We start from the raw sequence: 27,398 nt of genomic DNA on the forward strand, positions 1-27,398 counted from the left end.
GAGTTACAATAAAACTGAATAATGTCTGAAGCAAAGCAACATGAATATTGAAAGGTTAAAAGAGATATACATAACAGAAATATATGAGATGTGCATTCAAATCAATACATTCATTCTGACAGCATGAGCAAAAGCTCTTCATTTATCTCCTGTGTGCCAAAAAGATTGCATCAGAAGGCTCAGAATCAAAAACACTTGGATTTCTTGAATATGGGGCAAAGAGACATTCTCTGTGGCTTAGTTGATCATGATCAAAGACAATGATGACCCCAGAAGTCAGGGTGAAATGAGAGCAGTTGTGATAGGAAGTAAGATGGGAAGAACATTCAGGAGTAAGTTGGTCACTCACTCAAGATGGATCAACATTCTTCCTTAACAAATCACTTCAGTACCATGACATAAAACTGATGTAAACTCATTTGGGTGAGCTCTTCCCTCCCAAAGGGCAGTGGACTCTTCTTCACATAGGTGTGTCTGAGACCAGGTGTCTTGGGTATTATCACTTTGGAATTCAATTCATTATTTGATTGGTAAATCAACTCAGATTAACCACTCAACAGAAAAATGTCATATGAATGTTACTGTGCCAGGCTATAGGAATCATTTTTCAGTAATATTTTAGTGAGCCTCAAGCTTTATGGGAAAGAAACACTACAGTATGAAGAATAACGTGCCAATGTTATTATTAGTCAGCATTGTTTTGTAATATGCACTGATTCCCCATGCAATACAAAACCATGTCATTGTGGGTATGAGTACATGAGAGCTCTTGATAACTTTTATTTCCCATGTCAAAGAATTATATACATGAATTATTCGCATTTAGAACCAATTTTTGTAAATTTAAAACTTCTAATCATGGAAGCTGAACATGGAAATATTTTGTATGGGTGATTAACATTATTCTGAGGATCAAGTTTCTAGCTTTTATGCTTTCCTATGCTGTAATGCTGGTAATTTCTTTCTCATAAACGTGAGTATCCTCCTAATGGTAATTTTTTTTTTTTTTTTTGGGACAGGGTCTCACTCTTGTTGCCCAGGCTGGAGTGCAATGGCGTGATCTCGGCTCACTGCAACCTCTGCCTCCTGGGTTCAAGCGATTCTCCTGCCTCAGCCTCCTGAGTAGCTGGGATTACAGGTACCCACCACCACCCCCAGCTAATTTTTGTATTTTTAGTAGAGATGGGGTTTCGTCATGTTGGCCAGGCTGGTCTCAAACTCCTGACCTCAAGTGATCCACCCGCCTCGGCCTCCCAAAGTGTTGGGATTACAGGCGTGAGCCACCACGCCCGGCGGTAATATGTTTTTGAGTGATTAAGATTTTAGACTCATACAACCAACTAGGTAAATATAAAATGCATATATATATGTTTTTGAGTTTTTTTAGAGATAGAGTCTTGTTCTGTCACCCAGGCTAAAGTACAGTGGTATGAGCATAGCTCACTGCAGCCTCAAACTCTTGAGTTCAAGTGATCTTCCCACCTCAGCCTCTGGAGTAGCTGGGACTACAGGTACATGCCACCATGCCCCACCATATTTTTTTATTTTTTAGTAGAGATGGGGGTCTCACTAGAGATGGGTTGCCCAGACTAGTGTTGAACTCTGGGCCTTAAGCAGTCCTCCCACCTTGGACTCTCAAAGCACTGGGATTATAGGCATGAACCACTGCACCCAGCTACATATCATCTTTAAAACACACTCATCTTGGGCTAAAAGCTTATATGCACAATTTATCTCAAAACGTATGTATTTTATAGTCAGAATTTATAATTCAGAATAAAAGAATTTTTTATACTTCAGTTTCCTTGTTTGTGAAGTGGGGAAAATAATGCCAACTTCGGGGGTTGTTATGAGGATTAAAAGACTTATCATATGTATAGCTCTTGGGAAAGCACATAATGCTCAGTAAATGTGATGATACTGGTGATGATGATGGGGCTTTCAGATAACCACTTACACGGGCTCTCTTACCAATGGGTGGGAGGAGAGTCTAAGCAATGCTTAAGGCCTAAAACTTACACCACAAGCTTAATAATCTTCTTTCTTTCACAACTCTCATTTAGCCTTGCTTGTCAACAGCTATGAATGTCACTGTTCAAGAGAATTCATAAGGTTAAATAGAGCAGGGACATAAATTAACCTGAGAAATATAAGGTTTAAATTTGTACTGTGAAATGTAGTTTCAGCCACTTTAAGATTTCCACTGTTCTATTGAGGGATTGAGTTTTTGATGGCTTCTTTTGTTGTGTCCAGTGTAAACAATTCTCCTTAGATTTACTACCAGGTAAAAGACCCAAGCAAAATACTGAGAAAGGGGTGGTAGGGGAAGACAGAGATAGAGAAGGATGGAGGGAGGGAGGGAAGGAGAGAAAAGAAACAGAGGAGAGTAAAGAAGGGAAAGGAGGAGAAAAGAACAAAGGAGAGGAAAGGAAAAATTGACTTTTAAAATCCATAATCCAAACTTTTCTTTCAAGTCATAAAACCATATTGCCTGACATGGGCTCCTAAAGACCATGGAGCTGATGGTTCTGAGATAGAACTTCAACATCAACCTCATAAAATACACCAATATCTCTGTTTTAAAAATCTCTGTTGCTCTGAATCTGAAAGTGGCAAGTCCTAGTCCTGTGTAGTGAACTTACTGTAGTTTATCAGTCACACTGCTTCTCCTCCATTTTCATATAAAAAATATCAACGTACAAAACATATCTCCATTTCTCTACTGGGAAGTAGTGAAGACAAGTGAGATGCTGCCTTTGCAGGGTTCAATGAGCTCTGCCAAATACTACTGCAGATTTGTGTCATTTAATTTTACTTTTTAAAATGATTTTTTTTTCAAAAATCCTTTATTTTTCCATAAATTGGTGTCAGGTGGTTGAAAAACTGTAGCTAGAATATCTGGTGATAATAATTTTTTCTTCTATGCCAGGCAGTGCCCTTATATCTGGCAGTACAGCCTTCTTCATTCCTCTCTGAAGACCTGATTCCTTAAATCAGGCATCAGTATGTTTTTGGAGCACAGGATGGAGAAAGATTAAGTGTCAAATGGAATCACACAAGCTGAACAGCAAAGCAGACAGCAGGAGAAGAATCAAACAAGGTACATGCTGGGATGGAGAGGTCACCTTTTCTCCCTTTTCTCCTAGATCACCCTTCTCACCCCGTGGACCAGGGAAGCCCTGTAAGATAAAAAGCAAACCAAAAAGATCTATTGGTGTAATAGTGGCAAAATCATATAGAAACAAATATTTTAGGATTTTACATTTCTGAGCTTAAATATAACAAGAAATGGCTCACCAGTGTTAAGACTTAGATAATAAAGCAGTGCTTAGAAACATAAGTTTTCTAATGTCTCAATTATCTATACACAACAGGTTTCTTGCTTTTTCTTTTAAGAAATACAGAGTAGAAAGAATACCAGAATACTAGTTTGAATTCTGGCAAGTTCACTGATTTGTGCAGATTTGGGCAAATCACTTACCTCTCTGCACTTTAGTCCGTTGACTGTAAAATGGGGTTAATGATATCTACCAGACAGCTGTTGTGAATGTTAAATGTGATGATGTACTACAAAGTACCAGAATGATGCCTGCCCATAACAGGTGCTCATAAACAGTAACTAGTATTACTTTTGGTATTCTCATTATTCAGGTAATACAGGATGAGCAGTGATTGTGTCTAGAGGCATTTACTTTTGACATTCTCTATTTTCACAGAATCATATTAGCATAAGATATATAGGGACTAAATGTTAAAAGGAAAAAAATATTGCATAACTGCTTTGAGAAAAAAACATAATATATCATTCTGTAAGGATAGCATGTGAGAAGTATATTGATTTTATGCATATTTTTCATAAATAGGTCATGCTGATGTTAAGAGTACCCTCAATTTGGGAAAGTATTTTGAAGTGCCACTATCCACTACCAGTTATTAATTTTATACAAGATAATTGTGTTTTTTTGCTTTTCTGTTTTATCTCATGCAAACACTAGTGTATTTTATATTGCTGTTTACATGCACAGCAATATATGTTCTATGCATACCTATATGCACAGAAAAAAAAGAAGTATTCTTTTTGTTATCGATGATGGAGACCATCAACATCTATTATAATAGGATGATGTTTATTGTACTTATTACTTACATCAAGACCAGGCTCTCCATCTTTCCCCTGCCAAAGAACCATAGTAGCTACATTAGTGTTTCTAAGTTTTGTGAATAGATTATTGCTTTATTTAAGGCTGTCTGAACATGCAACACTAGTACTAGAACAACTACTTCAGAAATGTGAAAAAGATTCTCATTTGGATTAGTGACTGTTAGTGTTGCAGTTAAGGGTCATGAAAATTTTATATTATATATAGGGTTAAATAGATTAATATTTTGCTGATGTTTAAGCCTTGGTAGCTAAGTTATCAGTCCAGGAGTTAAATTAAAAGTAAAAAATACTGTTTAGTTGATTAGTGACTGTTAGTGTTGAAGTTAAGGGTCATGAAAATTTTATATGATATATTGGGTTAAATAGACTAATATTCTACTGATGTTTAAAGCTTGGTATCTAAGTTACCAGTCCAGGAGTTAAGTTAAAAGCAAAAATACTGTTTAGCTGATTTAAAAACATACCAGCACTAATAGAGGATGTGAATCAATGCTACTTTAATTTGATAACTTAGTAGTTAGCTCACAAATGAGTAAAGAATGTAGAAATACAGTTTTAATTTGGCTAGGATGTGCACACTGTGTACGAAGGATGTGAAGGCTGCAACTTAAAAGCTGTTTTTAAGTAAGCTTTGTAAATGAATAATCCCCAAATTTTTTTTAAAAGTTGTAAGACTGTTAGGCAAGAATGATAAATTCACTCCCATGGTGCAGATTATCATGGTGATGACCCTATTGTGTCATATTATGGATCCATCCAAAGTTCACGAGAGGTTACTTTGATTTCATCAATTAGATTTTGAAACCTATTTCAAAATCAGCATCTTTTTTTTGATTTAGCACTGAGGTAATCATGGTTTATGTTTATTATTTCAATTCATAAAGAGCATGTGTGAGATATGGAAAGGTTAAAACCCTTAATGCAACGTACGCTTCTACTGTCGTCCTACCCTATCTTAATGAATCAATTATAATTATTCCCAAGATGATATTTTTAAAGCAAACCAGAGGTCTCAATTTGAATTCTGTGTAATTAAGAATTTTCAGGCCGGGCGCAGTGTCTCACGCCTATAAATCGAGCACTTTGAGAGGCCGAGAAGGGCGGATCACTTGAGGTCAGGAGTTTGAGACCAGCGTGGCCAACATAGTGAAACCCCATCTCTACTAAAAATACAAAAATTAGCTGGGCATGGTGGCACACATCTGTAATCCCAGCTACTTGGGAGGCTGAGGCAGGAGAATCACTTGAACCCAGGAGGTGGAGGTTGCAGTGAGCCAAGATCATGCCACTGCACTCCAGCCTAGGCAAAAGAGCAAGACTCCATCTCAAATGATAATAATAATAAGAAGAGAAGAATTTTCAGAAGACAGAGCACTATCAGTGTTCTATGTTCTGCAGATCATTTGTCATCACGGTAATTTAGAAAGTCAGAAACATCAAGTCGTCATAAATATCAATGTAATTGGGGGAATAATTTTTACTAGCAAGAGTCATTTTAGTAAATAGTCTATAGGAACAGATAAAGTCTGAAGAAGGCTGTTTTCAGTGAAGCTTCCACAGCCATTTTTGGATCCAGTGATTTTCCAAGGAAGTGCCAGTTATGAGTGTCCAGTCAGATGATGTAGGGAGGGCATCTTCTGACAGTTAGGATCCTGTTCTCGAGTTAATACTTTATTCTAGAGACAGTCTCTGATCCTGTCAATCTCGTGAAGTGCCTGGATATGTGTCTGTACATGATGAGAGGGCAAGAGACTGAATATGACCTATTTGTGAAGGACATGGAAGTACTGAATTTATAGATAATGAGTGGATTGTTGTTTCTTCTCTAACATTAGTCTGCCCCACAAGCGAAGGGTTAACCGTGTCAGTGACTGGTCATCTATGCATGCGGAAGGTGGGGAGGTGCATGTGACCAGGAACTCACAGGCAGCCCATAGGGCCCTCTTGGTCCAGGCTCTCCCATAGCTCCTTTTTCACCCTAAAATGAAAAGTAGAAAGTTCAAATCATACACACCCACCTACATTCACACACTTTCTCTCATGCCCTATGTCTAAAGCCTCTATTTCAAGGACCATTCTATGAAAATCTCAAAGATTTAGCCTCTTGCAGAGTCACTGCCAGTGATATTTGGAAAGTAATCCACAGTAGCATCTTTTACTAAATCACCTTTGAAAGAGGGGCAGCACAAGATTGCTGCTGGCCAGCTGTGCAAAAGCATTTGCATATCTCAGATGTCATACTTAGGTTTCTTTGGCATTAGTGTGAAACATTTATTTGTTACTAATTATTTTGTTAGCACCTTTAAATGTAAGAATAAAGTGTCTTTCTTTTTTGAGACAGGGTCTCCCTCTTTCATCCAGGCTGGAGTGCAGTGGCATGATCATGGCTCACTGAAACCTTAAACTACTGGGCCTAAGTGATCCTCCCACCTCGACCTCCTGAGTAGCTGGGACTACAGGCAAGCACCACTATGCCCAGGTAGTTTTTAAATTATTTGTAGAGATTACTATGTTGTCCAGGCTGGTCTTGAACTCTGGGGCCTCAAGCAATCCTCCCACCTTGGACTCCCAAAGTGTTGGGATTACAGGCTTGAACTACAGTGTGTGGCCTGAAATACCTTTCCTTCTATCAAAAAACAATTATTCAGGGAAACCCTTTCTCGATTGCCCACTTCCTACCCCCAGCTATATTTTATTTCACAGCCCTTAGACACCAGAAGACCCATAAAGCTTATGACCTGCTTATTCTCTGCTACCCTCACTAGAATATACACAGGAGGGTTCTGGGGCCTCTAGCTTTGTTGTTCCCTATAGCATCCTTACAGCTTAGAATAGTGTATGGCACATCAGTAAATGTTTGTTGAATGAATGAATCAAAGCAAATCTATATAATCATGTACACAGTTTGCTTCCTTTCTGAAAAAGAGGATTTATTTATTTTTTATTTTGAGACAGAGTCTTGCTCTGTTGCCCGGGCTAGAGTGCAGTGGCACAATCTCGGCTCACTGCAACCTCCACCTCCCAGGTTCAAGCAATTCTGCCTCAGCCTCCCGAGTAGCTGGGAGTACAGGTGCCCGCCACGCCTGGCCAATTTTTGTATTTTTAGTAGAGATGGGGTTTCACCATGTTGGCCGGGCTGGTCTCGAAGTCCTGATTTCAGGTGATCCACCCACCTGAGCCTCCCAAAGTGCTGGGATTACAGGCGTGAGCCACCGTGCCTGGCCTGAAAAAGAGGGTTTAAAAACTTTCAACCCCTCTGAATGCCAGATAAGGTAGGTATATGTTATCTTCCTCACTTTCTCTCTAAGTGCCTATTTAAATAGAACAGCTTTCCCCATCTTACACGATATTCTTGAACACTTATAAAGAATAAGTGTTATTGGAGGTAATCTTGTGAATAGAATAATTGTGATGATAAAGAAAGAGATGTTCTGTATTTCAAATGGTGTTTTCTGCTGCTGCCATCTCCAAATTGAAGTGTTTGTCAGTATTTAGTAGGAAAACTTCAGGAGTAATGGTGATTTTATATGAGTAGCCAAACAGAAAATCTTATCTCCTTTTATCATACCCCTGAAGGAGTTTAAAGGTTAGCAAATCTTTTTTCTTGGCAAAACGCCAGGTTCAGCTGATAACAGTGCCTGCAGAGCCACCTGATATGCCTGTGTTTCTCCAGATTCCCGTGTGAGCAAATTTCAGGTCCCTGATAGCATTTTCTTTATCTAAATTTGAGGGGTCAGTGGAACTAATTAACACTGTCACCTAGAGGCAATATGGTATGGGTGAGATTACTGAAAATAAATACGATAAAAGTTTGAACTTTTATTCATTATTACTTTACGGTTATTACCAAAGCAGAAGCAATTGCACTCAGCACAGTGGCCAGATTTTAAATGAAACATTAAACATTTTTTTAAGAAGGGAATTTCCTTAATTTGTTAAGAGACATCTATAAAAAATATCTACAGCATATTTCTTAATAGTGAAATATCAAAAACAGTCCCTTTAAGAATGGAGCAAAGGACGGGCGCAGTGGCTTATGCCTTGCACTTTAGGAGTTCAAGGCAGGAGGATCATTTGAGGCCAGGAGTTTGAGACCAGCCTGGGGAACAAGGTGAGACCCTATCTCTAAAAAAACAACCAAACAAAATAACTAGTAAGGTGTGTATGTGTAAGTGTGTATCTATCTATCTATCTATCTATCTATCTATCTATCTATCTATCTATCATCTATCTATCTGTGTGTGTGTGTGTGCGCCCACACACGCACGTGTAGTGGGAGGTGAGAGTTTTAAGGGAGGAGCCACATAAACTGGACTATGTCTAGTTTGAAATAACTGAAATAACTCCACAGATTAGGGTGGGTCTAATTGGAAAAATCTCCATAGATTATTTTGATATAACCATTCCCTTCTCACTTGAGAATCTTGGCTTTGTCTTATTCTTAAAACAAATATACTATGGCTTATTTGAATAAAGCTGTCACTAAAACAGCTGTCTGTGAAACTACTCTTCTAGAACAGCCCACCCCCAAAAATTACTTAAGCTATTAACGACAATTCCATTTCTCTTGCCAGTGACTGCCTCAGAAATGGACAGCTGACCCAGTTCTGGCAAATGAGGTGTCAGGGGCATCAGCCGGGAAGCTCTGGGGAAGGTTCCTCTCTGCTCAGGAAGAGACATGAGGTAGTCTCTCTGTTCTCTGCCAGTGTCTCACCAGAGAGGATGCTTGGACCACTGTGCCCAGCTTGTCCGTGGTCAGAAGACAATGCCAACATGTGGAAAAGGGCTCCCAAGCAAAACCTAGAGTCCTCCTTTGAATATTTTCTTATATAAAATAATGTATTTCTTTATTGTGTAAGCCATTTTGAATTTGTCACTTAGAGCCAAAAAGCATTCTAATGATTCGAGCTTGAAAACTTTTAGGAATGAAATATTAACACGGGGATTTGAATGTACAACTCCTTTTCCTGGATTAAGCAATTCCAAAAGTATTTTTCAACCTCTCAAGCTTAACACATTTATAGAGTTCCAAAGCCAAATGAAGAAATCAGCTAAGGTAGGGAGGATCAGATGCTTGCAGAGTGGAATATTGATGCTGTCAATCATACACTTGAAAATGTTTGAATAACATTGGCTGTCAAATGTGTGGTTTCTTTTAGGTTGTTCTAATTTCATTCGGGTTCTTTAATTTGCACATCAACACTGAGGCATTATCCTAGAACACCTCCCTTTGCCGATTCTGACTTCTTTAAAATTTGAAACTTTTTCAGGAGAGTCCAGATGGCGCCTCTATCAATTAACTCTGAGAATCACACTCCAGTTTAGCACTTCCAGTGAGGGGCACTTGGAGAGTACTGATATATGATCCAGTTAAGATAGTTAACATGCTGAGTAAATACAAGAGTAACACTTTACGCTGCACACCATTTGACTGAAACTATGCCTTCAAAATTCTTAGCAATTTCATTTGCTCTTCTGGTTAATTCTGCTCCAGCACTGAGACCTGATACTCTTGTGACATTGTGGAGCTATCGGAAGTAGCAGCTGATTTACCACACGGTAAACCCTCTTGAGCCCCAGGGCATTCTGCCAAAACACTGCCTGAGATTTGCTGCTCCATTTTTAGTACATGGGCTGGGTTTCTTCATACAATGCTTGAAAGCCAATCTGCATCAGCAGCGTTGAGGCTTTTAGCTTTTAAATATTTTTAATTAAGATGATCTTCAGAAGTCATTGGTTTGATCTTAGAAATATGACAATTGCACATTCAGATTACATGTTCCCTTAGAACTCATCTCTTTCTACAAGCATTCTTGGATAAAGCCAATCTTCATCACTGTACAGCTTGTACTATTTGTATTATTTTGGCCTCATTCTCTGGTTATTTCCTTCATGCATTTTTTTTTCTCTGCAATTAGATTGTAAACTCTTCTAGGTCAGGAAGAATAGCTGTTTTTTTTGCAGCATTCAGTATATATTAATAAATATTAATAAAAATATTAATAAAAGACCAAGAGATAATTAATCAATTATAATGGTATTATTCAATGTACTGAAGCAAATTAGCAAAATAGGCTTTACCTAAGTGGGAGGAGAGTTTCCATTTCACACTAGTAATACCATGCTTTGCACATAGTAGCATTTGGTAAATATTTCCTGAATGAATGAGATCACTCTACAGAACACAGAATTATGGAATTGGAAGGTATGTTAAAGAAATGACTACTGGCCCTCTTTTTTTAAAGCAAATTATCTCAGACTGATGAAAATCTATCTAGTTTTTAAAAGACCACAAACTTGCACAGTGAATCATTCCGACATTTTGAAGACTTCACTATTAAAATACTTTCTTTATATCCTCTCCTGGATGGTAGGGAAATTGATGACATAATTCCACTCAGACACACAAAAATAATTCTAAGATTTCCAAGGTGAGGAAAAGAAATAGTGGGAGAAAAACAGAAAGAGAGAGAGGGGGAGAGAGAGAGAGAGAGAGAGAGAGAGAGCGCATGCATGAGAGGGAGAAGAGAGAAGAAAGTTCCAGACAGATGACCATTTATCTTCCATTCTGAATGTCTTTTTTCCCCCAAAAGATATGGAAACATGGCCTAGCAATAGAGAGGTTAGTGAAAGGTTTTCATTTTATAATGCACTGAAATTATTTCCTTATGGTTAAAGAAAAACAGCCTATCCTTTAGCTTTAAAAAAGGGGGAGCATTTGTAACTGTGCAGAAAAGAATACTTAGGTTTCATTATTTCCTTTGGAAAAAAGTTATAACCTGCTCTGAATGAGTACAGTAGCTTTATATAAAAGATTATCAACCAGAATACATACTCCGGAAATTTTAGCTCCATTGACTTCGACTTTCTGGATAAAGGCCAAATGAAAATATCTTCCTTATGGGTGAAGGAAGAATCATCTGAGCTATTTATTTTAGCTATGTAAATGTATGTATTGTTTTTATTAAGGCAGCCGTGTTCTATTTTATGCTCTGTGGTTTTCTTCTCTCAATATTAGGACTCTGAATAGAACTTAGGATGGTATCTCTTTTTATTTAATATTAGATAGCCCTTTATTTCTTCTGAAAAATGAACAGTTAAATTAATATGGAAAAGCCATGCTCTGTGTTTTCTTTAGTACAAGCTTAATAACCTCAGCAACAACTTACTCTTTCTCCTTTGGGACCTGCAGGGCCATGGGGTCCCATAGGACCATCTGTACCCTAAAAAAAAGATAATATGAGATATATCACAAGGGCTGCAAGAATAGCAGTTATAATTTATCCTGGATTTTTCCTAGGTGAATGGTGCCTAAGAATATCAGTAAGACAACTCATCTCCTTTCAAAGTGCTTTATGCTTGATTATTTCAGGCCAGCGGTTTTCAAGAAACTCATGCAAAAAGGATGAAGTATATAACTGCATGTTTCAATGAAAGGCACACACGAAAAGCTGCATATCATATTTAATTATATCTTTTTCCTCTGACTAAATAAAGCATCACTGGCTGGGTGCGGTGGCTCAAGCCTGTAATCCCAGCACTTTGGGAGGCTGAGGTGGGTGGATCACCTGAGGTCAGGAGATTGAAGCCAGCCAGCCTGGCCAACATGGTGAAACCCCGTCTCTATTAAAAACACAAAAATTAGCTGGGCATGGTGACGGGTGCCTGCATTCCCCTACTCGGGAGGCTGAGACTGTAGTGAGCCAAGATCGTGCCACTGCACTCCAGCCTGGGCAACAGAGCGAGACTCCGTCTCAAAAAATAATAAATAAATAAATAAATAAATAAATAAAGCATCTTCACTTTGCCCCATAATCTTAAGAAGAAAAATGTAATTGTTTTTCCTTCCTGTCACCTCTTCCTCAAGCCCTTTCTCTACACCCACTGCCACCCTTAACCGGGCGTGCTCTGAACTCTTGTTTTCAGCTGTTTAAGAGGCTTGAACTGTTACACAAGTAGAAGAAAATTATTAAGTAAATGAAAACAGTGTGTAACTGTTCAATCCAAAAACTTCCTGCAGCTCTGTTGGGGGCAGCAGGGGCTTACAGGAAAGGAATCATTCTTACAGATTCTGCGGCAGTGGCCAGTCACTAGGCTTACAACTCACAAACCAGGCAGCCAAGATGACTTAAAGGTATAATTCCCCTTTGTCCCCCTGGTTAGTTCAGGATTAGGATTTCTGCAGTAGAAGAGGTGATATTTGAATGAATGTAAGAACGCTGAGGTCCAGTGAAAATAATGATTGCCTGAAACAAGTTTTTAGAATTGAAAAGATGGGAATTTCTTTTAGATTCTTAAAACTGTAGCCAGGACTTCAAGTATACTTGCTCATTTCCAGTATGACTATGCTTAGATTCATAAAAAATTGATTATAATATTTGCAAATGTAGGAACTATTCCAGCATGATTTTTCTTTAGTATTCCCATTTCTGTTCTACTATTCTGGTTTATTCTGTGAGAGCTTTGTGATAAGAAAGAATTCAGAGTTTTAAATTCATTCTAATGTTGCTGAATTCTCATCAGCTTAACTGATATTTTTCTTACTGCCTGAATTCAAAGTTCACCTTCAGAAGACTTCTAAATACTGAGTATCTGTAGCTGAAATTTAAGAGCTGGAGCTGTTAAGAACCAAAGAAAAAAAGACAAAATGACAGAAGACAGACAAGTCATTTCTATGAACAGAAATTGAAAGTTAGTGCCAAGGAAGAAGTTACATTTGATGGACATCAGTCTAAAAGGAAAAGCAAGTTACAATAATTTCACATTATTTTAATCTCTTCAGAGGGCCGCTCTCATGGAATTGTAGGGGATGTCTGTCTATTGGTTCTGGAAAAATTCATGTGGAATTCTAAGACAATGAAGCCCATTAGTCTGGTCATTCTTCCCACCTAGCAAATTATCCAGACTTGAACACGAGCTTCACAAAGACATTCTGGCAGTTTAGCTGTTCTCCGGACAGAGTTGCAACCGTCCTCTGTCCACCTTTCCCCCTTTTGCCGCCATCTTTGTCCACCTTCCCCTTTTACTCCAGCTCTAAGTACACCCTCATCATTTGATGAGAGGACATGGAGCAAAGGGGTCTGTGCTGAAGCACATGATTCACAGCCACAAAACATGTCAGAGCAAGACAAGGGACTGACTCACCCGGGATCCTGGCTTTCCGTCTAAGCCAGATGCTCCCTGTGTGATTTGGTTGGTAGCAGGGTTGGTGGGTGTAACACGAATGACAAGAACAGAGATTAGTATGAGGTACCGATGAACAAATGTAACACTTCAAACAACATAATACGCAGTTACAGGGTTCTGGGATGAATATCACATTGCTACAAATTGTTAGTTAAAAAAAAAAAACACATGACAAACACCCCACAGATGATGGCATTTTAATGACATTTCTATTTGACAAGTTCTTATTTAGAAATCAAGCTAATGAAGTGTATAAACTGGGCTACAAAGTAGTTACTCATAACAGTTGCAGGCTTCTATCTAATTTCCATATGAAATTCATTTTCTAAAGACTGTGCTATTCACCATATATTTCTTTAGGTTCTGAAGAGAAAAGAACGGTAATTTCCTAAAAAAGCGCTCATTATAATAATCAATCAAATTTAGCATTTCAGAGGAGAAGAAAGAGCTCTGGTTATACTTGTTAAAACAGTATTTATGAATAACAAATACAGGGTTTTCACATGTTAGGATGACTCTTAGTGGATTTTACATGAACAATAATTACTCATTGTTTTCTGGGTTGTTCCTACTGTTCACACTACTTTCCACTAGAGGGACTTCTAGGAAAGGGAAAAAGCCAGAAAACAATGTGTGCGACCAAGCAAAAAATAACTTCCAAACTAAATTGTTTCTCAATTCCTTCAAATAATCTTTGCATCAAAGCCTGATGGGGGAAATAACTTTAAAAATCGAATGTTCTCAGACAATGCATGCTTTTCTTCACTTTGAACTCTAGGCTACAAATAAATAGCGTATGATTAAACAATGGCATTTTCAATGCTTGTTTCAAGAATAAGTACAATTATTTCTTTAATATGGTTTTTGTGTCTCAAAGCCCAAATATTTATTTATAGTCCTTTAAAAATATTGGTTAGACCAAGGAGTATTTAAGAAAGAAAATGCACTGGCCCTAAAAATTCTATTGTCAAGATTGCAGAACTATTTCCCAATTTTATGCTTCAGATGCAGTTAATAATACAGAATGGAAAAAAAAATCTATTCCAGATGAAAACTCTACCAATGATGTTATTCTACATACATTTTGAGTATTTTGAGTTTTTATTTTAAAATTTCTTCTGTATAATCCATGAGCCATACTATAACTGCAAAATACATACATTCTTTTTTTTTTTGAGATGGAGTTTCACCCTTGTTGCCCAGGCTGAAGTGCAATGGCACAATCTTGGCTCACTGCAACCTCCACCTCCCAGGTTCAAGCAATTCTCCTGCCTCAGCCTCCCGAGTAGCTGGGATTACAGGCATGCGCCATCGCACCCGGCTAATTTTTGTTTTTAGTAGAGACAGGGTTTCATCATGTTGGCCAGGCTGTTCTCGAACTCCTGATCTCCACTGATCACTTGCCTCCATCTCCCAAAGTACTGGGATTACAGGTGTGAGCCACAGTGCCCGGCTTACATACGTCTTTTTTTTTTTTTTTTTTTTTTTTTTTTGAGACGGACTCTCGCTCTGTTGCCCGGGCTGGAGTGCAGTGGCGCGATCTCAGTTCACTGCAACCTCTGCCTCTCGGGTTTATGCCATTCTCCTGCCTCAGCCTCCCGAGTAGCTGGGACTACAGGCACCCACCACCAAGCCTGGCTAATTTTTTGTATTTTTAATCGAGACAGGTTTCACCATGTTAGCCAGGATGGTCTTGATCTCCTAACCTGGTGATCCGCCCACCTCGGCCTCCCAAAGTGCTGGGATTACAGGCATGAGCCACCGTGCCCGGCCTTACATACGTCTTTTGTTAGCAATAATTACAATAAAAATATATATTGTTGTTCATTTGTTTAAGGCTAGCATAGGTACAGCTGTTAGCTAAATGTTGCATAAAAATTATCAATAGCCCTAAATTTTAAAAAAGGGCAGACTTTAAATAAATCAGATTGAAAGTTTAAATAAAATAGAAAATCCAAACTTTCTTTTGCCTTTTGATACCTTCTTCAGTTACATTATAACATTTGAAAACAAATGTAGGCCAGGCATAGTGGCTCACAGCTATAATCCCAGAGCTTTTAGAGGCCGAGGCGGGAAGATTGTTTGAGGCCATGAGTTAGAGATCAGCGTGGGAAACATGGCGAGACCCAATCTCTATAAAATATTTTTAAAAATAAAGCGCTTGAGCCCAGGACTTTGAAGCTGCAGTGAGCTGTGAGTGTATCATTAGACTCTAGCCTGGGTGACAGAGTGAGACACTGTCTCAAACAAAGAAAAAAGAAAATAAATGGGGAAACTGTAATAATTTTACACTGATAATATTATATCTACCTAGAATGCTGAAATAATGACTCACATATATTATAGAGGTTTTATGCCTATGGTCCATTGATCTAACTGGTGTGATTAAACCTATATTCTAGGCTGGGCTGGTGGCTCATGCCTTTAATCCTAGCACTTTGTGAAGCCGAGGCGGGTGGATCACCTGAGGTCAGGAGTTTGAGACCAGCCTGGCCAACGTGGCGAAACCCTGTCTCTACTAAAAATAGAAAACTTAGCTGGGCATGGTGGCATGCACCTGTAGTCCCAGCTACTCAGGAGGCTGAGGCACGAGAATTGCTTGAACCTGGGAGATGGAGGTTGTGGTGAGCCAAGTTGGCACCACTGCACTCCAGCCTGGGTGACAGAGAGAGACTCTGTCTCAAAAATAAATAAATAAAATAAACCTATATTTTAATACAAGGTTTATATCAGTCATTCAATAAATAAATAACTATTGACCATCATATGGTGGATGTATGTAAGGCACTTGCTATCAACTAGCGTGAAGTATAATAACCATGGCAAAAATGAAAAAGTGGTCATCAGCTTTTTTTTCCTCCCACATTTCAAATTGTGTATAAACTATATTCTGTTACTGATTTTATGTCATATTTTACTAATGTAATCTATATTGTTCTTTGTTGATTTGTATCTGTATTCACCAAATAGATAGCATATTAAAGGCTTGAAATTAAAGCCTCGTATTTAATAACAATTTAAAAAAATCTCCATTTAGTTGTTGTGGAAAGAAGGCTGACATAAAGAAAATGAAGAGCCTGGGGGAGATTCCTTCTTCATTAAAAATAAAAATCTCTAAACAACTGCAAAATACTTCTTTTATACGACTCACTATTGCCACAAGAACCTCATAACAGGGAATTTTCAAAACAAACAACATAAAACACGTAGAACATGATATGATTGATTAATGTAAGGAGCCACAGCATTGACCTCACTCCATCAACAATGGCCAATTCCATACCTGCCACCAACAGAGGGCTACAGTTTTTGGTATCCAAGGAGAAAAAACAGTTGAGGAAGCATTTTAAACTGCACTAGATTATAAAAAGTGTTTGGGAGAAACTATGAAATAATGAGCACAACACTTTTAAAAGAAGGGGACAATGGAAGAGGAATTGTCAGCCCTAAAAGAGGAAGGTTGGCATGTATGTAATTGAAGAATGACAGGACATTTATAGCATTGTTTGTTGTGGGTCTTCCTCTGACACAAGAGAAGACATCAGAGAAAACAAAACTGGGCTGAGCTCTGCTCTAATATAATATGTTTTCTAATTACAGAAACCTCAACAGTACGAGCTGCTGAGTAAACCAGAGTTATCATGTAGGGTAGAAAGAAAAATCTGAGATTTGCACTAAAATGGAAAGTTTTCTTTACTTACTGGAAGACCAAGGGGTCCTCTGTCACCCTTTTGACCTGGTTCACCCTTCAATCCTTTAACACCATTTAACCCTGGTTCACCCTAAATGCAAAAGCAAATGCCAATTTTGGTTGCTATTATGGGTGTTTAAACTGTGAGAGAAGAGAGCCAGTCTCTGAAATAGTTGCAGATTCCAGTTTTAGGAAACAGCAGAGTCAGGCTAGATTTGTCTTGCACGAAACATTAATTTTTAAAGTTAAAATAGTTACTAAACTGACATCAACAATTAATATTCTAGAAACCAAAACTCCCAAGAAAGTATGCTCCTTACAATAAAAATATGTATGGTTGAATTCCTAAATTTTTCAGTTCCATCTCAAGGAAATTCATGTTATACCACATTTTTATGATCAAATAATTCAAAGACAATCGAGTGGAGGATGCTGAAGAAGATTCGGTAGAAAAAAAAACCCACTCTGCTGGAATGGAAAACTGGAATATGCAGGACAGGGTTATAGACAGATATTTTAAGCCTTTAAGCATGTTGCCCAAGGGAATGAACTAAAAACGTAGCAGCTGATGTTTGAAGTAATGCCATTTAGCAAGTCCTCATTCACTGCCCTTGCCAAGTCAGATCCCTACATGGACTAATCAACAAATCACCAATCCCAGGAGAAAATATGAAGATCAAAGAACTTAGATGTAGTTTTACTAACTATCCATCTGCCCAGTGTTAGAATAAAGAAAGTATGAATTTAACTCAGCGTGACATTATAAAAGCCACGGTAAATGATAAATTCTTGACTCCATTTTTAAAAACCAAGGAATACAGTATACCTATTTTCCATCAGTAACGGCATGTTAGATATCAAGTTCTGACCTGTATACTTTTCAACTTTTAAGCGTAGACATTAATTTGCCAAGAAAATCTTGAAGGGCTTGTGAAAGAAAGATGATTTCAGACACAAATACCCTATAGAGTCTTGCTGGGTGGGGGCGGGAAAGGGGAGAGGCTATACTGACATGGCAGAAGGGGTTTTTAACCTAGGCAGTATTTACTCAACTTGCTTGATGATATAAGTCAGTGTAGCGCTTGTTAAACATAAAGAGTTCAGGGCCCCACCCAGTCCATGGTAACACAGAAATGGGTATCTTTAATAAGTCTCCCAGGTGATTCTTATCAGGAAATTCTGGGAAACACTGAGCTAGATTCATGCATGGAATCATGCTATATATTTGAACTTTCAAAGGGGGTTGCAAAATGATGAACACACTGGCATGGCATAAAAAGTTTTCAGGATTTTGAAGATAGGATGTTTGCAGTACAGCCACTATAGCAAGTCCAAATGTGTTGGTGTTGGTAAGACAGTATCCCGGGAATGCTATTGATTGAGGACACCATATTAAGGCCAAGGCTCAGTAGTCAGTGACTAATTTGAGATCCGTGGCTTTGCATGTGTGTGCACTTTCAGCACGTGGTCTTGAGGTACTTGAGGTTAAATCCAGTGACAGAAAGACCAAATTTCAAGTCTGGACCTAAGTTCTAGTCCCAGATCTGTCATGAACTAGCTGTGTAATTAGGGGCAAATAACCTAAACTGTTTGGGCCTGAAGTTTATCATCTATGAAATCAGGGAACTTGCATAGATATCTATGAGGTCTTTTCAACTTTATAATTATCTGAAACTTATGATTTAAGTAAGAATTAAGTTGTATGGACAAAATAAATTGTTGCATTTTAGAAATCAAAAGCATCTTGGGCATCTCCTAATCCAATGGTGATGGCATATCTGAATCACTTATGAAATTAAATATCTTGGTGGCATTATCCTTAGTCATTATGACCAGGCTGGTTTTTGGTGGCATCTTAAAATCCAAGAGTAGGGCCGGGCGCAGTGGCTCATGCTTGTAATCCCAGCACTTTGGGAGGCCGAGGCGGGCGGATCACTTGGGGTCAGGAGTTCAAGACCAGCCTGGCCAACATGGTGAAACCTTGTCTCTACTAAAAATACAAAAATTAGCCGGGCATGGTGGTGGGTGCCTGTAATCCCAGCTACTTGGGAGGCTGAGGCGGAAGAATCACTTGAACCCAGGAGGCGGAGGTTGCAGCGAGCCAAGACTGCACCATTGCACTCCAGCCTGGGAAACAAGAGCGAAACGCCATCTCAAAAAAAAAAAAAAAAAAAATCCATGAGTAGGAAGCATTGATTTAGTCTAGATGGGGAAAAAGGCCCAGAGAGATTAAACGACTACTAAGATCACAAAGCTGATAGATGGGGCTCTCTCTTCTGACCCCCCCTCCCAGATAGTACTCTTACCCCAAAGTCTAATTCATGCTTCTGAGATAGTTACTCACTGGCCTTACTGGAAGGTAAGGTAGTCTAAGAAGAATAAAGAGGCATGAACACATTCTTGGGTGTCACCTGCCTGACTGGGAAAAGGAAACCCAGATTTCCTGAGTCAGACCAATACCTGCCACCACTCCTAGAGCTGGGTGGGCCAAAGAGAGCCAGCCTCCCCAGAGGAGACAGTGGCCTGCTTCTGGGCTTTGTGACACCTAGTGCCAACACTGCCTTTATGTGTCTCCCCAGCCCCTCCCTTCCTGTTAGTTGCACCAACTCACTACTGAAGCACTCTCAGGAGTTCATGAACCTTCTTTCAAGCAGGGTTGAGGATGAGTTATAGAATTTTTCTGTTCAGAACCAAGTATCACATAGCAACAATAACAGCTGTCTTCTGACATTTATCAACAGCTGCACCAGATATTTTGCTAAGTGTTTTATAAGCATACCTCATTAAGTTATCACAGCACTGTAAGGTGAGTTACCCAGTTGAGTAAATAAAGGATCAGAGAGGGTCCATAATCTGCTCAAGGTGATACAGCCTGGCAAGATTGAGATTAGAACATAAGTCTTCATCACGTATGCTCCCTGAAAGGGGGACCTTGTCTTTCAGGGCTTATTTTAATCTGCCAGGATGTCCTCGCGGTCTAGACAAAGGCAAAGGACAGGTGGAGACCATCTTCATCATGCAAGCTACACTAATTCTGACAAAGAGGAGCTTTTATCCCTTGTTCTCTTCTTAACCCAAAAGTATAGAATGCATGTAAGTGATGTGATCTTCTTCCCAGTATAGCACACCTGAAATACCCCACCCACTTCTAGACCAATGACCTCTGGGCGAGTACAAAATTAAGATGCTGGAGAGGCAAAGCATTTAGATGAGATATGACTACATGGCAAGCAAGAAATATCAATTAATAACATCCAAATATACAGTTAGAGACACCATTAAAAAAAAGCATCTAGACTAGTCTGAGAATCTCATCAGATTCACTTCTAAATGGTTGACTTGAGTACATTATGATTTGTAATTTGAGAGGTTACATAGTGACCAGGAAAAAGGCAAAATGAAGAATAATTTTTCTCCAGGTGATATCATTTAAATTTGTTATAAGTCATTTTGTGTTATGAGATTTAAACATATGGATGCTTAAAGGCTCAAAGATTATCAACATTACTTGACAAATAAATAAGATAGGACAGACATGCTTCTGTCATGCTTCTCCATGATTATCAAGGAAGCAGAAATCAAATAATCAAGGGATTTGTTGGATTACCTTTGGTCCAGGAAGTCCATGAGGTCCCTGAAAATGGAAAACAGAGCTTTTAATTAAGAATTGATTCCCTGTTTCCCAGCAAGAGTGAATATTATATCACATAACAAAAGAGATGTGAGACAAGCATCTTCTTGTTTGAGCTATAGGTAGAGGCAGGCTAGTGGATGTTATTTATTACCCACCAAAAGTTCCTTCCAGCTCTTGGATTGCTCTGTAATAGGAAATTCATTAATAGCAATTCTGTCTGCTAATACCTTTGAGGAGGGAGAAATCTGCCAGGGTTACATGGAAGAAAGAAGTAGGAAAAAGAGGTATTCTGAACTCAAATTACCATTACAAAGTCTGAGTGGAATATGTGAGATGCTTCATGAGTTTAAATGAAATAAAAATATGACTTCAAAGAGAAATTTGCCAAAGAGAAGCCCCAGACTTTAAGTGCCAGGGAAGAGGAGAAGTTTTCCATTAACTCCTCCAGACCCAAGGTGTTGAAGAATCTAAAGGAGACATGAAGTGAGGAGATGACACCCAAATTTTGGATTTTGTAGCATCATTTATTTAAGATTAAATAAAAGATTATTATGTAGGAAAGCTAAGCATTATTATTTAGATTGCATTTATTTTTACAAAAACAAATTCCTCAAAGCTCTTGTAATAATTGTTTATCAGTGGAAGAAAGTCATAATGCATGCATGAATCAGGATTACAAAACACATACTTTGTAGAAAATCTAAATATACAGACTAGTCAACTTAAATTAACTAAGGTTACTGTGGATTGCTGTAAACCTTTCAAGTGATTTAAACAAACTATTTGGAGAAAGGAGTATTTAAATATCCATCAGTAAAATTATAAAACTGCAGGAAAAAGTTTTTATTAAGCAATGCCTATATATTTGTTACATATGTCCACATTAGAATAATATTTTCCTTTTCAATAAGTTTCAGATAAGGATTTTCAGGAAATGGCTGTTACTTTATCAGGTATTCTTACCTCATTTTAATAATGGCTTAAAATTCCTCTAAACTAATTAATTTTATGATATGAACAGGCTGTAGCATTTTCTAATTTAACCTTCTATCTTATAGTAGAGGGAGTATTTTTAAAAAGCCAAAAGTATGCCATTTGCTTAATTCTTAATGAACCATCCAGTTTTAAGAAAATAAGGTCACACTGGGCGAGGTGGCTCACATCTGTAATCCTAGCACTTTGGGAGGCCAAAGCGGGTGCATCACTTGGGCCCAGCAGTTTGAGAACAGCTTGGGCAATGTGGTGAAACTTCATCTATTCAAAAAATACAAAAATTAACTGGGCGTGGTTGGTGGCATGTGCCTGTTGTCCCAGCTACTCAGGAGGCTGATGTGGGAAGATCACCTGAGCCTAGGAGGTAGAGGTTGCAGTGAGCCATGATCGTGCCACTGTACTCCAGCCTGGGTGACAGAGTGAGACCCTGTCTCAAAAAAAAAAAAAAAAAAAAAAGAGGAAGAAGAAGAAAGAAGAAAGAAGAAGGAAGAAGGAAGAAAGAAGAAGAAAAAGAAAATAAGGTCAATAATAATTGTTTATGTTATAAAATAGAAATGGAGCTAATCACTGGCTATGCTCTTGGCTTAGATCATTCCAATAATGCTCTTTCTTGTGCAATGGGAGGAAAGAGTGACCATAATTTACTTATTCTGTAATACTGAAGTCCTTTGATTTATTGACACCTGAGAGACACATGTGACCTTCTAGACTGCCTGACTTGCTCTTATTCTGCCCCAGTCAAAAGCATTTGAAGCATTCTGCCTTCAACATTCTAACCTTAACAACTGTCTTTGGTTTGACATTTAGAGAATTATACTTGCTTAATGGCTGCCTTCCTCACTGGACATCAGTTTCTTGAGGGCAGGGCCACTGTCACCATTGGCCACTGCAAGACACCTGCAGTTAACACTGGCCCTGGCTCAATGAATCAATCAAAGTATCATAAAAGTAAGAAGGAAGATCTAACAATATATGTTATCTGAGGAAGTAAGCTGCAATTTTTATCATACTATTTTACAAATATTCTTTTTTAAAATTGACACATAATAACTATATATTTATGGATATAGTGTGATATTTTGATACCTTATACATAAATGTTCCTATTGAACATTTCATTAAAGAGTTCAAACCTCAAACTTTGTCAGAAAACATTCTTTAATGGCTATTATTACTATTATTATTATTATTATTATTATTTTTGAGATAGAGTCTCACTGTCTCCCAGGCTAAAGGGCAAGGGCATGATCACAACTCACTGCAACCTCAGCCTCCCTGGGCTCAGGCAATCCTCCCACCTCAGCCTCCTGAGTAGCTGGGACTACAGGCATGTGCCACCATGGCCAGTTAATTTTTGTAGTAGAGATGGAGTTTTGCCATGTTGCCCAGGCTGGTAACTCCTGACCTCAAGTGATCTGCCCACCTCGGCCTCCCAAAGTGTTGGCATGAGCCATTGTGTCCAGCCAATTCTAAATCTTATTCTGCTGGTATCAGGTTAGAGGAGTGGCCGGATAAAATGATTTGCCAGTGTTCACACTGTAAAGTTGTAGTAGAGCTTGCTATATGTGTCTGTCTTTCCTCACCTCTGTCGCAAAACTACTCTATCTCTTCCCAACATATGTGTTTGGGAGAGTGAATGACAACACTGTAAAGTTAATATATCTCAAAGCACCTGGTATTTTCCATCCATTCCACAGAGAGTAGTACAAAATACAAGCTGGCTGTTTAGAGGGATGTGTTCATGTTCTCTCTAGCAGCATGCTCATAAATAAGCAATTACATTTCAGAAAGAAGGGAAACTTACCATGGGGCCAGGTGGGCCATGGGGACCTGGTGGGCCTGGTGGGCCTATGATCTGTATGTCCAAAAAATAAAAATGTATTTGGTTACTTCATTTAGATAAGGCAGTTCAACTTGAATCTTGTGCTGGGGTTCTGCTAAGGCCATTAGTAGTTGGAGAGGAAGAAAGATACTAGAATAAGTGATGTGTTTGATTCTCTAGATGTAGAAATTCCCTTATGAGAATTAAAAAAAAAAATTCCAAAAAAAGTTCTCCAAAAGCCAGAATAAATGAAAACTATGTTAAAAGAAAAGGAAGCAACTAATTACCAAGAAATGCTATAATGTCACTACTATCAAACTCAAATATTTCACTAAGCATAAGCAGGGCTCTGGAGAAACAAACAAGTATGTTCTATATTCACAAAGATCTACCCATTGTTAGGAGAAAACCATTGATTTTTTTCCTCAGGATTAGACAGTCCTCTGAAAACCTGCTTCTACCTCAGACCTCTGATATACTTTGTGTATCACTGTGCAGGGCTGACGGATGTTTCTTCTACAGTTTGACAAACCAAGAGGTTTGAGGTCTGTCTACTGTTGTGCAGCCATCTGGCAGAGGTGGAATAGGTAAGTAACATGTCAGTGTGTGAGGAGGTTCAGGAACAATGGAAGTTCAGCCACCATGGACTTACAGAAGGACCCTGTGGACCCGGCATTCCAGAATCTCCTTTTTCTCCTTTCATTCCATTGGCTCCCTATAAATAACCATTAAGCAGAGTTAAGCAGGTAAAGTTATTTCCAGTGTAAGAGACAACTGAATTTTCTCCCCAAACCCATTGTTCTCTTGACATTTTATAATATTATGCACTTGCTACATAAAAGAAGGATTTATCTCCTTGAATTCTAGCTTAAAATAGCAAGCTTATTAAAATCCTTAGGATTATGGGTGATATGTAGAATAAAATATAAAGTAAATGAAAACTAGTTTGAGCTTGATTGGTTAAAGACCTACAGTGTTAAATACATTGAGTTATAAATGTTATATCTTTTATGGTGGTGCGCAATTTAAACAGCAAAGGTAAGGCTTTTAACTTAGTTTTTACTGACATTTATATACTTCCTTGTTTTACAGAAAAGTCTAAGGCAGTGGAGTTTACTGCATTTTTTAAAACAATTTTTACATTTTCTCCTCCAAATTCTCAGTTAGAATTACGGGGAAAACCATAAAACACCATCCCATAGTATCATACACACAGAGGACACTTTCCAGAGTAATTTGTTTTTTAATTCTCCTATATTTTTTGGCTCATTTCTTTATTATGGTTTATTTTACAATAACCAGTTACCACCATCTTATGCATACTAAATTAAAGTGGCCAACTATGTTTATTTTATTATCTTCTAGGGAAAACAATTCAGGAAAACATGAAGGCTTCCTTTATAATTCATTTGGTTACATGCCTTACAATTTGAGTTCCCTAGAGTAATTAACCAATAATACCTCAAATATTTCAAAATAAAAATATGAGATGAACCACTAGATGAGATTGCAGCTAATAATATAACTCTTTTCTGATTGTTTAATTTATCTTAATAAGAACATAATATAAAAAGTATAAACAAACAGAAAGTATAAACATACCGGTAATCCAGGAAGTCCAATTCCTCCTTTTTCACCTGTCATACCTGGGTCCCCCATGTCTCCCTTTGAGCCTTTGAGTCCCTAAAAATGATAGACAAGGTTGGCATGTAAGCAGCATAATGACCCCCGATAATTACATCCTAGGGAAAACAGAATTCCGATCAATTTCGTTAATAGGTGGGTTCAATGTTGAGATGATTCTGATTTTTGTTTTTAGGTAGAGTTATTTCTTACAGCAACCTTCTACATGCAATCAGTACTATTTCTCCTTGTAATGAAATAGATTAAGTTCTATTAGGCCATGTAAGCATAAAAAACATGAACTTAGGTTTTGACATAATTTCTCCTGATTTTGTATTTTTACCTGGCAGCTAATTCTATCTCACCAGACCTGAAAACAACTTAATAGACTTAATTCTCAACAATACAGGATGTATTTTGAACTGGGACCTAGTGTTATATAATAACAAATGTCCAAATTTCTCTCATCTCTACCCACTATACTCCCCTCCCTCCTAACTGCAGGCAGAAGTTCCAGTCACAATGAGTTTTCAATGGTCCAGTCTACAGACTGATAAATCACTGGATCATTTACCACACACTAACGCTCAATCAATGCTTAAAAGTATGACAACCTCTTCACAGTGTTCTTATTTTGTTCTCATGATGTCTCTATGAGATGAGTCAGAATGGTATTTTTATTCTCCTTTACAGTGAGGAAATAGATAAATATGCATTTTGAATGTTAACAAATCTGAATTTTGTAATTTTTTTTTTTTTTTTTTGAGTTGGAGTCTCACTCTGTCACCCAGGCTGGACCGCAATGGTGCGATCTTGGCTCACTGCAACCTCCGGCTCCTGGGTTCAAGCCATTCTCCTGCTTCAGCCTCCCAAGTAGCTGGGGCTACAAGCATGCGCCACCATGCCCAGGTAATTTTTGTATTTTTAGTAGAGACGAGGTTTCACCATGTTGGCCCGGCTGGTCTCAAACTCCTGACCTCAGGTGATCTGCTCACCTTGGCCTCCCAAAGTGCTGGGATTACAGGCGTGAGCCACCATGCCTGGCCTGAATTTTATAATATTAATATTGACATTAATTTATATTTTTAAGCATTTTCATCCTAGGAAACTCACTTCAATATACTAATGGCTCATTCTTCAGTAGAGATGATCATAGTTATTATGGTAAGGGGCTTCTAGGCTGCACAAACCTGTTTATCTTTTTTTTATTAAAACCGATGGAGAAAAATTATTTATGGAAAGGAACTTTTCTTGTTAACTGTTCCTATTTAATAGCATTCAGAATTACCCAATGGGTAAGTAGGTGCCTGAATGAATAGATGGATCTTACTGATTAATAAGACCTGGATTATTTTTAGGGATCTAGTGATGGCAGCAGGACGGCAACCCAATGTACTTAGTGATAGAAGAAGACCTTGCAAAGCCTACAGAAGAAAAAAAAAAGCTAGCTACTATATCTGTAGGAGCCATAATGTATATCATTATGCATGTCAAATTAATTGCTTATAATGACCAATGGTCAGAGAAGTAACATAGACAGACTTTAAAATTCTAAGTGATCTATGATATAGCAAATCATCTAAGGTATCTATGTTTCTGTTTACCACATGTTCATTTAATATGGCATTATTATTATTTCAGCATATAACTCTGATAGTAAAAATAATCCTAAACCTAATTTTCCTATCTAATACTTTCTTCTGAGGAGTATATGTGCACTAACTGTATTAAGAATCCTTTTGATTTCTTATGATTTTCCTGATTTTAGCCATTTCTTGGGTAAATAATGGAAATCAAGAAAACACTAAAGATCTTGAAATTAACCCTTTTGATTCCATTCCAAATTCTGAATACTGTCCACGTTCTCCAACTCAGATTCTTTTAGAGCAGGGGTCGCCAAACCATGGCTCACAGGCCAAATTCATCCCAGGGATTGTTTTTGTACAGAGTGAATTTAAAAAAAAATTGTTGAGGTGTTAACCAAAAATAAATAAATAAAAAGGAAACTTCAACACAGATTGTATGTGGCCTGTAAAGCCTAAAGCATTTACTATCTGGACCTTTATTAACAAAGCTTGCCGACTTCTGTTTTAGAGGGAACCCTCAGAGATACACTACCATACTCTGTCAAGCTACAAGTTCCCTGCTTGTTTCTGTATTTTCTAAGGATCTAGGGATTAGGTGTCATCTTTATTTGGGAAAAGAAAACATTGTCTAAAAAAGGCATATAGGCAAGATTTAGTTTTGTGGAAACTATGGTCACTGATTTTAATCTTGACATATTTGT

At 38.1% G+C, this 27,398-nt stretch overlaps 1 protein-coding gene across 11 annotated transcripts in view; it reads right to left on the reverse strand.

Moving 5' to 3' along the window:
- COL25A1 (collagen type XXV alpha 1 chain) overlaps positions 1–27,398 on the reverse strand; it is a 493,934-nt gene that overhangs the window by 12,324 nt on the left and 454,212 nt on the right. For 7 of the 11 annotated variants that reach the window (XM_011532335.3, XM_011532334.3, XM_011532333.3 and 4 more), the window contains 10 exons: positions 25,091–25,171; positions 24,141–24,203; positions 23,471–23,521; positions 20,647–20,673; positions 17,050–17,130; positions 13,307–13,342; positions 11,332–11,385; positions 6,087–6,140; positions 4,148–4,174; positions 3,126–3,179 (listed from right to left, as the gene is read on the reverse strand). In XM_011532335.3, the coding sequence (XP_011530637.1) occupies positions 3,126–3,179; positions 4,148–4,174; positions 6,087–6,140; positions 11,332–11,385; positions 13,307–13,342; positions 17,050–17,130; positions 20,647–20,673; positions 23,471–23,521; positions 24,141–24,203; positions 25,091–25,171 (528 nt within the window). Of the gene's footprint in view, positions 1–2,795; positions 3,180–4,147; positions 4,175–6,086; positions 6,141–11,331; positions 11,386–13,306; positions 13,343–17,049; positions 17,131–20,646; positions 20,674–23,470; positions 23,522–24,140; positions 24,204–25,090; positions 25,172–27,398 lie in introns of those variants that run through there. The other 4 variants (NR_045756.3, NM_001256074.3, NM_198721.4 and 1 more) reach the window with 4 other exon arrangements.

The sequence above is a fragment of the Homo sapiens genome, chromosome 4 (assembly GCF_000001405.40).
Source record: "Homo sapiens chromosome 4, GRCh38.p14 Primary Assembly".
NCBI lineage: Eukaryota > Metazoa > Chordata > Mammalia > Primates > Hominidae > Homo > Homo sapiens.